Source organism: Homo sapiens, chromosome 5 (genome assembly GCF_000001405.40).
Source record: "Homo sapiens chromosome 5, GRCh38.p14 Primary Assembly".
Taxonomy (NCBI): domain Eukaryota; kingdom Metazoa; phylum Chordata; class Mammalia; order Primates; family Hominidae; genus Homo; species Homo sapiens.
The window spans coordinates 55122344-55134559 of NC_000005.10; the positions used below are offsets into that span (position 1 = coordinate 55122344).

At 38.2% G+C, this 12216-nt stretch overlaps 1 protein-coding gene across 3 annotated transcripts in view; it reads right to left on the reverse strand.

The window, feature by feature from the left end:
- CDC20B (cell division cycle 20B) overlaps nucleotides 1-12216 on the reverse strand; it is a 60207-nt gene that overhangs the window by 9373 nt on the left and 38618 nt on the right. For all 3 annotated transcript variants that reach the window (NM_001145734.2, NM_152623.2, NM_001170402.1), the window contains exons 6-9: nucleotides 11069-11185; nucleotides 6078-6274; nucleotides 4914-5008; nucleotides 2460-2685 (exon numbers count right to left, since the gene is read on the reverse strand). In NM_001145734.2, coding sequence (NP_001139206.2) covers nucleotides 2460-2685; nucleotides 4914-5008; nucleotides 6078-6274; nucleotides 11069-11185 — 635 coding nt within the window. The remainder of the gene's footprint in view (nucleotides 1-2459; nucleotides 2686-4913; nucleotides 5009-6077; nucleotides 6275-11068; nucleotides 11186-12216) is intronic.

The following is a 12216-nucleotide window of genomic DNA, read 5'->3' on the forward strand; positions in this document are numbered from 1 at the left end:
AATGAAGCCTCAATCTCCCTGGGGCTCAAGCGATCCACCTACCTCAGCCTCCCAAAGTGCTGGGATTACAGGCATGAGCCACTGCACCTGGCCTCACTCTATTTTAAAGATTCTGCGGCAGATTGTATTTTCCAAAGATAGCTACAACACTGTCTTTCATCCAACAAGTCCTTCTGAGCCTCGCCCATTCCCTCCATCAATAGGTACAATCTAATTCCTCTACCTTTGAATGTGGGACTTGTGACTATCCTGGAACCAATAAATGTGACAAAAGTGACACTGCATGAATTGCAAAATTAGGTTATATTAATAAAAGGTGTTAACGCTTTCACCTTGCTCTCTGAAGCACTGGACCTATTGCCCTGAAGCACAAACTCCCAACTGGCTTGAGGCAACCATGTTGTGAGGAAACCCAAATCAGCCCACACAACATGAAGATGCTCTGGAATTACAAGAAGGAGCATGCCCAGGCAGCTGGCAAACAAGTGGTCCAGCCTCCCACACTTTTAGCTTCCGATGCTGTCTGACTGCAACCTCATGAGTGATCCTGAGCCAGAACTGCTCAGATGACATTTTCCCAGAATCCTTACCCAGGAAACCATAAAAGATAATGAAATGATTATTGTTTTAAGCCACTAAGTTTTTGAGTAATTTGTTGCACAGCAATAGATAACCAGACAGATACTATAAACAGAAACCTTGAACAATGAAATATGGTTATAGTTCATACAAGAAAGACAATGAGGAATTCTCATCAGCCTACCTACACTCAAAGTAGAGGTCTTGGTCTCATATGGTGAATTAATGTACGGTTTAATAAATCTGGTGAATGTAATGTTTTCAGTCAAAATAAAATATCTACAATATATATCATAAGTTAAAGTTCCCTGCTTTAATTGTCTTTTTCAAATAACCATTCTCCACCTCTGATTAGGCTGGAGAAGAGGGCTATTTCACAGAACACAAAATTTTGCAATTTCAAGAGGCTCAGAAATTCCCCTGAGCCCATGGGCCCCAGTTTTACCATATGATGGATAATAATTTTTTATATTTATTAATAATCATTTTCTTAAATATCCTACACTTCCAGATAGCTTTTATAATAAATATTTTGGCAAAACTAGAAGCTACACCATGAGAGGAATCACGCACATGTCAACCTGCAAAGTCTACTCCTGCTCCACCTGTTGGTTAGCTGGTGACTGAAGAGACACGACTGGTGACTGTTCAGTGATTCCCCAGGTGCTGACTGCCAGGAGGCTTGGCTTGCTCTGGTTTCCGGAGACTCTCTCTTAGTGAAAAGGACTCCCATTTAGTAGTTCACTGCATCAGATTTTTGACAACAAGGCATTTAAAAAGGTAACTTGTCTTGCTTGGCTTGGGTTTTCAACTAATTTTTTGTTTTGTTTTTGTATGTTGTTTTCAGACAGCGTATTTTACATATATTTTGCCTACTTCAAGTCATGAATACTGGGAATTTGGACCGATCATCATTCTCAATATCCTGTAGACATGAAAAACTACAAGCCAGGAATATTGGGCCAGTACAATGTAGTGGCAGCAGTCACTATATATTTCAACCTATATTAGGAAGCCCTGTAATAACTTTTAAATCCTCTTGTAATAAATTTGCTTACTGTTAATAAGGTAGAACCATTTCTTTGCTCTGTGAGTGACATATATTCTGGGACTACGTTGAGGTCAAGACACATCTGTGTCACCAAGTCCTCAAGAAGGAAACTATGGAATTTTTTTACTAGAAATAAGAATTTAAAAGAGAAATAAATAATTATGCAGAACATGGTGGAGCATTGATCTAATTCCACAGCACCCTGCCATCTTCTGACAGTTGATCTCTTTTCTTACGTGTGAGCTTGTGACCCAGGCCCATCAGTGTGCCCATCTCTCTGGCCACAATTATTAACTGAGAGATGAGAATGTGACCAAAGGCAGACTAGAGTCCTCCCTGGCACATTTCCACCAGAGTTATAAGGAAAAATGGCTTCTTATCCAGCGCCCATCTGGAAGAATCTGAATCTGAAGCTGCCAAGAGCCATCTTGCCCAGAAAATGAAGTCTGAAGGAAGAATGAAACCAGAGATAAGCAGAGCCAAGAGCTAAAAAGATGGGCCCAAATGACATTACTCAAAGCCTTAGATCCAGCTGATATTTAAAACCAGCTGTATGTACCCAGGACTCCAAAGTTACATGAAAAAAATAGATTTACTTTTTTGCTTAAGCTTAAGTTTGACTTTGGTTTCAGTCACCTACAACTAAAAAATCTGACCAGTGGAAAGTATAAATAGGGTTGTCTTTCAGGAGAGTGATGACAAACTCCAAAGCAAATTCTAGAGAAAGAAAAATCTCAAAATATTGGCTTAATGATTTTCTTTTTATATGTGAAGGATACCCAGTGGCCTCTGAGTAACAGGAAACCTAGAAATCTATTGGGTTTCTTACCTTGACTGCCGTAGACTGGGTTATGACTTTCAGCGGTTGGCCCTGTGCACTGGCACCTGGATCGTGGGGCCATATTGTCAGCAGTCCATCACTGCAGCCGCTGGAAAGCAGCCTGCCATCCGGTGACCACTTCAGAGCACACACAGCTTGCTTGTGGCGAAGTGTTCCAACATGATGCTGGGCTACCCGAACATCGTGATGATAAACACGCCCCAGTCTTGACCCACTGCGAGTTTACATAACAAAAAAATTAAGCCCTGTTGCTACATAAACATTTGAAAACATGGAGGAAAGCATAGTTCAAAGTAAAACTTCTGAAAGACCCCTAGGACAGATTCAAAACACAGGTGGAGATTCCTTGGGTTAATAAGGATGGAGTGTTCTGCCTGGAGGATTCTTTTCACAAGTGAAATTGATTTGTCTGGCAGAGTTTGAAGTCTAGATTTAAAAATATCCTTTGATAGATGTTTCTAATGACTTTAATCTGATGTAAGCAGCGATGGAAAAATAAGCTGAGAAGATTACCAGATTTTCCCAAAGACTAGTTTATATACAGGACCTAGGAAATATTAACACTTTTCTGCAACTTTGAATATTTCAGATTATCTCAACAAAATGGTTTCAGTATATATTTACAGTAAAATGTTAGACATAGAAAAAGGAAATAAATATCTAACAGGTAGAGTCCTATTAACCTATAGATCCATTCTTAGTTTTGCTAAAGAACTAAACTTCTTTGTAAAAGAAGTTTAAAACCAATTGAATGTCACAGCAAACTGCAATATGATTCCTAAGCAGTGGATAATGTCTCCATTCATGCTCAGTGATGTGAATCTAAACAACTAAAGATCACATCACTTTTTCAAAGATAATGAACGCTTTCTGGATTAATTTAATTTTCTCTAAGGAGTAAGTAAATGATGTTCCACAATTATTTCAGACATTTCTCAAAGTCCAGTGTCGCATTGTTTAAAACTATGCAATGCTGAACAGCATTGTGATTAACAATATGGGCTCTGGAGCCAGACCAGCTGGGTTATTCCAACTCCATCACTTACTAACCATGTGACTTCAGGCTAGTGTCTTAGTTTAATTTGAAAAAACAAAATTGAGGATAAGAGACCACCTTATCATGTTACTGCAGTGATTAAAATGAAATTACACACATAAAAAGTATAGCACAGTGCCTGGCACAGAGTAGTCTGAAAATGTTAGCTGCTATTATTATAAGAAAGGATCTGCTCATTTTCCTCGTGGATAATGAAACTAAATTTTAACAATGCAGATTAGAAAAGGAGCTTGAGTACATAATTGACTGCAATAACTAAGTTGTTTTAAGACCGGCCAAAAACACAAGATATTCAAGTCTCAAGTTTACATCAGATTACTTAAATACATTTTAAAAGTCTTTGGGATGGCCAGGCGCGGTGGCTCACACCTGTAATCCCAGCACTTTGGCAGGCCGAGGCAGGTGGATCACAAGGTCAGGAGTTCAAGACCATCCTGGCCACCATAGTGAAACCCCATCTCTACTAAAAATACAAAAATTACCCAGGCATGGTGGTGGGCGCCTGTAGTCCCAGCTACTCGGGAGGTGGAGGTTGCAGTGAGCTGAGATCACGCCACTGAACTCCAGCCTAGGTGACAGAGTGAGATTCCATGTCAAAAAAAAAAAAAAAAAAAAACAGTCTTTGGGATTTATCTAACTTAAGTCTACCTTAACCTTAAGAACTACAATATGAAAATGAATGGCTATGATTAAAAGCAATATATATTTAGACCAGTTATGTAGGCTCATAGGAAAAAGTCCCTTAATTTTTCTGGTTAAAAAGAAGCAGTTAAACTAAATCACTAGTTCTCAAAGGGATGTATCATCAGCATCACTTGGGAAATGAGAAATGCCAATTATCAGCCCCTCAAGACCTAATGAATCTGAAGTCCCTCAAGTGAAGCCAGCAATCTGCATTTTGAGGAGCTCTCCAGGTGATTCTGATACATGTTCTAGTTTGAGAACTACTGAACAGGATAATCTATGAGGTTCCTTCTGCTCTAATTTCTGTGGGTCTATGAATTGGAAATGTGTCCCAGAGAGCTTAACATATTCCATAGTATAGATACTGACAGCAATAAATACTTGATTTCAGCAAAATATCCCTTTAGTACCTATTACTTAGCACAGAGAAACCTTTTGCTTGAAGGGATTTTCACATTTTATCTGAACAATTTAGTGCATCCCATGCAGAAGGCACACATGATACATGTGGCCACCAAGACACTTACATGACCAGCAGATCTGAATACCTGAGAGGGTGGGATCATACCTGATATTAAGTCCAATGGCCTATTTTGTTTTATTTTTGATTGGTTTAGGTTTTGAATATTACAACTGTTTACTCAGGCCCCATAATCAATTGTTAATACAAACATAACTGTCTCCAACAAGACGCTTCTTACCTGCTGAGGATAAAGTGATTCCAGCTCAGAGCCCCAACTACTGACAAATGACCAAGCATATTTCTCAGCCGCTTTTTAGTTACCACATCCCATAACTGAAAAAATGAACAAGGAGAGTTATGTAGCATTGGAGTTTTCACAGCCCACTGTCTTCTCAAAGGCCTGAGAGCCAATTACTGCTGATATTGTTAGTTTTTGTACTAAGTGAAAACCCAGCACATCTAGCCAGCAGTTCTCAATTCTGACTGTGTATTAGGATCAGCTGGGGAGTCTATAACACTATGGATGCTGATTTAGTTGGTAGAGTAGAGCCTGGGGATATATGGCAGTTGTTTTAAAGCTCCCCAGGTGAATTCAATGTGCAGCCAAGGGTTGAGAATTATTACCACATTTCTAGCTCCTTCTAAATTGTGAGAATTCCAAATCTGGAAATCTACCCACAGTTACCAACAAATGTATTAATAAGATGTGGGTACCCGGACACTTCCTAGAATCAGTAATTCCACTTACTGCTAAGAGACTCCCTTCCTGCGAGCTACAGATAATATTCTGATCCACATGGGGAATGACAACTTTGGTGTAAGAAGAAATCATGACATAGACTTCACAGCATTCATTATCATTGCAGAGATGAGAAAGCAGTGAGAGAGCCATCTGTGGCCCTCCTAAGTCATTTGCACATGAGTGATATTGTTTATTCTATTGGTAATAAACAATAATAATGATACATGAGAAATCAGATAGATTGATGGAAATTTGATAAATCCCCATCTCAAGGAGCCTATCAGAAAAAAAAATTCACTCATTTTCTATAACTGTACTCTTAATCACGGCTTCAGGTGAAAAGGAGAACTGAAAGTATCTTCCTCTCTCCAAAGCTCCAAAACTGGAGATTCTACAAGCCCAACTTTAGTTTCAGAGAAAATATATTTTTAAATATGACAGAAAGATTGTGGTGGAAACTAACCAGAGTATCCTTACGTTTTCATTAAAAACCATTCAGTAAAAAAAAAAAAAAAAAAGCGGAATGTCATCTCCTTTTATTCCCCATACTTCAAGAGCCACACCTAGTTTCTCTATTTTACATTAACTTGTTATTAAAAGTCAATTATAGTGTAATAATACACAGAGAACATGATGAGAAAAAAAAAAACTGGCCAGTACTTGCACTTCTCCCTCGCTGGTGCCAACTGCCAGGCAAGTTCCCTCTTTTATCCAGGACACAGAAGAGATATAGTTACAAGTGAGACTTAAGTCTATGTTTTCAATCCCATTGTGGTTCTCCCCATTCCAGATGTATACAGCAGAGCCCAGGGCTATGGCAACAAGATTCTGAAAACTCCAATCTAGGATATTCAGATCTATAAGAAAAGCACTTCAAATTAGTATAATTATACAGCCACATGAAAACATGTTCAAATAAACAACTTTATAGGTAGGGGGAAAAGAATAATACCATCCCCATGGTTAGCTGGAAAATGGAAACATGGAACCATGAAAATCCTTAAAAGTTCAAAAATGAAAAGTGGAATAGAATCTAGTGTCAACACTCACAGTCTAATAAGCAATAATGCTTATTATTTACACTGAAATATATTTATTTAGAGCCATTTAAAGAACTTGGCAGATTCATCTACCATTATTAGTACATGTAGACTTCGTTTAACGGATCAGTAAAAGTTAAAAGCATATAATTCTTATGGAGACACTCTTGGACCTAGGATATCTATATGGGAGATGCCACCATCATTTCTAACCAAAAACACCACCCAGCTAGAAGAGGTGGTGGTTCATGTATGATACCTACACGTTCTCAACAGTATTCTATAGCTTATACTAATAAGAAACCTTTGACTGCTAAGAGAAAACATATTTGTATGACCATTTATTAAAATATACCCTATCTTATTTCTTATCAGTCAGAAACTCCTGACTGACACGTATCAGTATAAAACTAAGTAGCACACCAGTTCCCCTACAGTAGTTTAAACCCCTACAATACATTCCGTCCCCATGATAAATATAAACTCTGAATGAAATATAAAAAACAAACACCTGGAGATCCTGTAAAGTAAGGAAAAGCAGTAAACTAAGTAAGGGAGTCAAAATTTGGAGAAGCAAACTGGCGGGGGGTAAGTTTCCCACTTTTCTTCTTTCACACCTTTGCCCTGAGGACAGGCCCCATTGATGGAGTGCCAGCGAAGACTCTGACAAAAAGGCCACCATATTTCTGGTCAGAGAAACCATGGAAAAGAGCCTGAGGCATAGAACTGATACCAGTATGAGGGAAAAGTCCTAGACATGGGAAAGCCAAAAGAAAGAGATCCTCTGAGTGTGAGTATATTAATTCACACACATCTCAGCCTTACCCCTAAATCACCTACATGCAGAAGAGACTCAAATCACCTTAGTAAAGGCTTTAAGAAACGAACTGAGATTTGAAACATCCATACAAGTCTCAGCCTAGGCTCTGATCCACATGTATGAGATACAGACCCAAACCAGCATGGTCAAAGTTTAAGAAACTGATCTAAGATTTGAAACACCACCCACAAATGGCAAGACAAAACTTAAAATGTGAACCTAACTAGAACAAAAACATCAACCAGAACAAAACATCAACATTCTCCACAGGACCCAGTGACTATAACATAACATCTACAATATCCAGACACAATTCAAAATTACTGGATAAATGTAAAGACAAAACATAACCAATAGATGAAAACTCCAAGGTGACCTAGGTATAGAAATTATCAAAGACTTTAAAGCAGCCATTATATTCTCCATGAAGTGAAGAAAAACACACATGAAATGAATGAAAATTTATATGAAACTTTATATGAAGCTTTAACAGATAAACAGAAAAATCAAAAGTATTTTCTAAGTAAAGAAAATAGAAACCATAAAACAAAGCTCTAAAATGGAAATCAAATATACAAAAACCACAAAATACAAACTTTAAAATGGAAAAATATAATATCTGAAAAATTCCTTGGATACACTGAATAGCAGGATAGAGGTGATAGAGGAAAGAGTAAACTTGAATATAGATAACAGAAATTATTCAATCTAAAGAATGTGGAGAAAAAATTTCTTAAAGAATGAAGCCTCAGCGAATTGTGGAATAATATCCAAAAATCTAACATATGTGTAAGTAGAGTCAGGTCTTAGAAGCAGGATAACAAGGTGACCATGGGGTTCTCACCAGATACCATGGAGGCCACAGTCAATGGAACAACATCTTTTAAATGCTGGGGGTAGGGGGCAGTGGTGGATCTTTCAACCCAGAATTCTATATCCAGCAAAAATCTCATCAACTGGAAGATGGAAAATCTAACAGAAGTCTGTGCCAACTGACCTGATCTGCAAGAACTGCTAAAGGAAGCTCTTCAGGCTAAAGGGACAATATATGAAAGAGAAACTTGGATCTTCAGAAATGAAGGAGAACACTGAAATTGGTAAATATTTGGGTGAACATAGGAGCCATTTTTTCCTCTTAAGCTATTTAAATACTTTTTAAATTTTAAAACGTTTACAATTGGATGGTTTTCAGTGTATGTAAATATAAAATGCATGACAGGCCAGACACAGTGTCTCACACCTGTAATCCCAGCACTTTGGGAGGCCAAGGTGGGAGGATCACTTGAGCCCAAAGAGTTCAAGACCAGCCTGAGGAGTAAAGTAAGACCCCATCTCTATAAAAAATCAAAAAATTACCTGGGCATGGTGATATGTGCCTGTGGGCCCAGCTACTTGGGAGGCTAAGGCAGGAGGATCACTTGAGCCCAGGAGGTAGAGGCCACAGTAAGCCTCTACAGCCTCCAGCCTGAACCACTGCACTCCAGCCTGGGTGACAGAGTGAAAACCTCCCTCAAAACCTCCCTCAAAAAACAATAACAAACAAACAAACACATGACAACTACAATAACCTAAAAAGTAGTGGGGACTTTGAGAGACCTATGTGATTGCAAGATGTTTATATATTGTGTGATGTGTACAATAGTAACTCTACGTAGACTAAGAAAGTTAAAATTACATTGTAATCCCTAGAAAAATGACGACAAAACACAATACAAAGAGATATAGCCAAAAAGCTAAGATCAATTAAAATAGAACAGAAGTAAAAAAAGAAAAGATGTCCAAGGAACAGGCCTTGGGTACTCCAACATTTAGAGGTCAGGGAAATGGAAGAGAAACACAAATCAGCAAAAAAGGATGAGAAAGAGTGAACAAAAGACACTCTTGGACAAAACCCAAAAGAGTGGGATATCAAGAAGGAGGGATTGATCAGCTGTCTCAAATATAGTTGTTAGGGTTCGGTATGAAGTCTAAGAAGTAACTGTTGGCTATAACAATGAGGAGTTCTTTGGTAATGTTTGGAAGAGTAGTTTCAATTGAATGATGAGACTTAAAACTTGACTAGAGTGGATTTGAGACAATATGGGGAGAGAAATAGAAAATTATAAGTATAAAGATCTTTTGAAAGTTGTACTGTCAAAGGGAGGAAAGAAAGAGGGCTGTGCGTCTGGGCATGGTGGCTTATGCCTGTAATCCCAGCACTTTGGGAGGCCAAGGCAGGCGGATCACTTGAGGTCAGGAGTTCGAGACTAGCCTGGCCAATATGGTGAAACTCCATCTCTACTAAAAATACAAAAATTAGCCAGGCATGGTGCACATGCCTGTAGCTACACGCCCAGCTACTCAAGAGGCTGAGGCACGAGAATTGCTTAAACCCAGGAGGCGGAGGCTGCAGTGAGCCACTGCACTCCAGCCTGGGTGACAAAGCAAGACTCTGTTTAAAAAAAAAGAAAGAAAGAAAAAGGGCTGTGGCTTAAAGGAAAAATGGGAACAAACATTGTTTCTTTTTAATATAACAGTTTTTTAACATTTTTTGAAAATCCATCCTTCTTAGTTGGTCATGACAATACATTCTCTTGGAGAAGGAGCTGAAGGAATAGGGAGATAGAGAACTGTTCCCTTCAGGGATTTTTCTTTTTCCAGCTCATGCCTCTTTTTAGATATTCCATGGAGCCCAGACCCCTTCCCTCTGCTCCTCTCTCCCTCATCTAGGGAGCTTACACTGGCTCCTGGATTCAATCATAATCATCTGACCTACGGGCTAGTCCATCCTCTTTCAACTACCAGCATTCGTTTCAAATAATCTGCCAAACTGCTTCTATGTCTGATTGTCTCCTTTAAAATAATATTCAAGCATAGTCTTTCCTCTCCAAATCACCTCCTCTGCCAATCTGTCTTCTCAGTGACACCACCCTTCTTTCTCCTGCTTCAAAAACTTGGAATAATCATGAATTCATTTCTCATCCCATTTCTTTTCTTCATGGAGGAAAAATAAGCCTTTACTCTTTGGCAGCTCTTTCCTACTAAGTGCATTCTGCATACTCTGCCATGAATTTTCCTTTGATGTTTCTCTTAGTCAACAACTCCCAAAACAAATCTAAATTTCTGAATTTGAATTTTTCTCCATAATCTGTACCCACCTATTCACCAGTCCCCAATGTATCTTCTTCATTGCCATTAAATATCTTAATTACCAACATCCTGCCTTCTTCATGCTGTTAACAATACCAAAAATGGTCCTTCTCCTCTATACCTTTCCAAGTTCTAATGATCTTCCAAGACCCAGCTTAAGTATAAATATCTCCACAACGTCTTTCTGGACAACACCGAAGCTCACTAAGCTCCTTCTAGTCTTTATAGCTCCTTATATCCCATGATTTATTATTTATAATCTACCTTGGCATATGGTATCAGTTCCGTGTCAGTTAGTCCTGTCCTCCAAACTAGATTACAAGCTGGGCACATAACAAGTAGACCCAATGCAGTTGTTTGACTGATTCGATTTACCCATATTTAAAATACATACATAAGAATAGACCATCATTAGTACAATTCTTTCTAATACAGTAACATAAAATGTATATTTCCCACACCATGCCAACATTAACAATACCATCCCTAAATATGAAAGTTGCACCAGGAAAAGCCAAGTATATTAGCCATATTTGGATGCTACACTATTTGGATATGAGACATAAAGGCCATCTGGTTTAATCAAATTTCAAGTTTATACCAGAGCACAGGATGCATTTTGTCATTTCAACTTTTAATTCCCAATCTAAATGATAACTTACAGTAGTCATTTCGAAGACCAGTAATATGAATCTTCACCTCTGGTTGGAGTATGGAATCGTTTATATCACCAGAACTTTTAAGATGGAAGGATTCATCTCTGACTCCATCTTTGCAGCCTACAAGAAACAAACACTTCTACACAGCTCTAAGATCCTGAAAATATAATATTTATTCTTGTGGGAATTAAGAAATAACATTAAGTGAAAAAGCTTAATTAAGTGGAAAATAAGTAGTCATCATGATAAAACTACAGTACAAAGAGCCGGGGAAGGAAGGAAATGAAGAGCACTTCAGTATTAATTTAAACAAGAAGATTAAAATTTTTTTCAATGACACTTCCTACTAAAAAGCACATGCATACAGACCTGAATGTAGAAGATAGATCTTGTGAGGAGTACACAGAGATACTACATCATGCTTTGAATATTTATTCTGTTATTTGGGATTTTAAAACCAAAGTGAATTTTGCTTTTCCACACCAAGACTTACCTGGTACACCTATGCCCTACTCTGAGACTTCATCAATAAATATTTATTGATTCGTTGATTTTAGCTCTTTCTCTCAATATTTCAGTATTGGAGCACACAGACTCCAATACTGGAGTATTGTTAATATATTTATAGTTGGAATCATACAATATTTAGTTTTTTCAGATTGTCTGCTTTTGGTTAATTTTACCCATGACTATCTAAGGTCAGTATTCTATCTTTTGTTCAGTTCTCATCAAAAGACCATACTAAGTTCAAACCACAGGCCGCTGTCTTTTCATCTCCAACCACTCAGCTTGTGATCAAACTGAGAATGATAAAATCAAAAGAAACCAAGACCACCCAGGTGACTTGTGGTGTCTATGACCAGATGGCTTCTGATAAAAGCATGAGAGCTTCACAATGCTACACCAAGAAACCAAATTGTTACTCATAAATTCCTGCTTCCGTGTTAGCTATGAAAACCTGTAGCTGAGGGCAAAACTGCAAGATTACTAAAAATACTTAGGCTTGCTGATAAAGTATCAACAAGGTTAAAAAAAAAATCAATACCCAAAGAATGAACAAAAAAACTCCTGGGGCTGGGCACGGTGGCTCATGCCTGTAATCTCAGCACTTTAGGAGCTGAGGCAGGCAGATTGCCTGAGCCCAGGAGTTT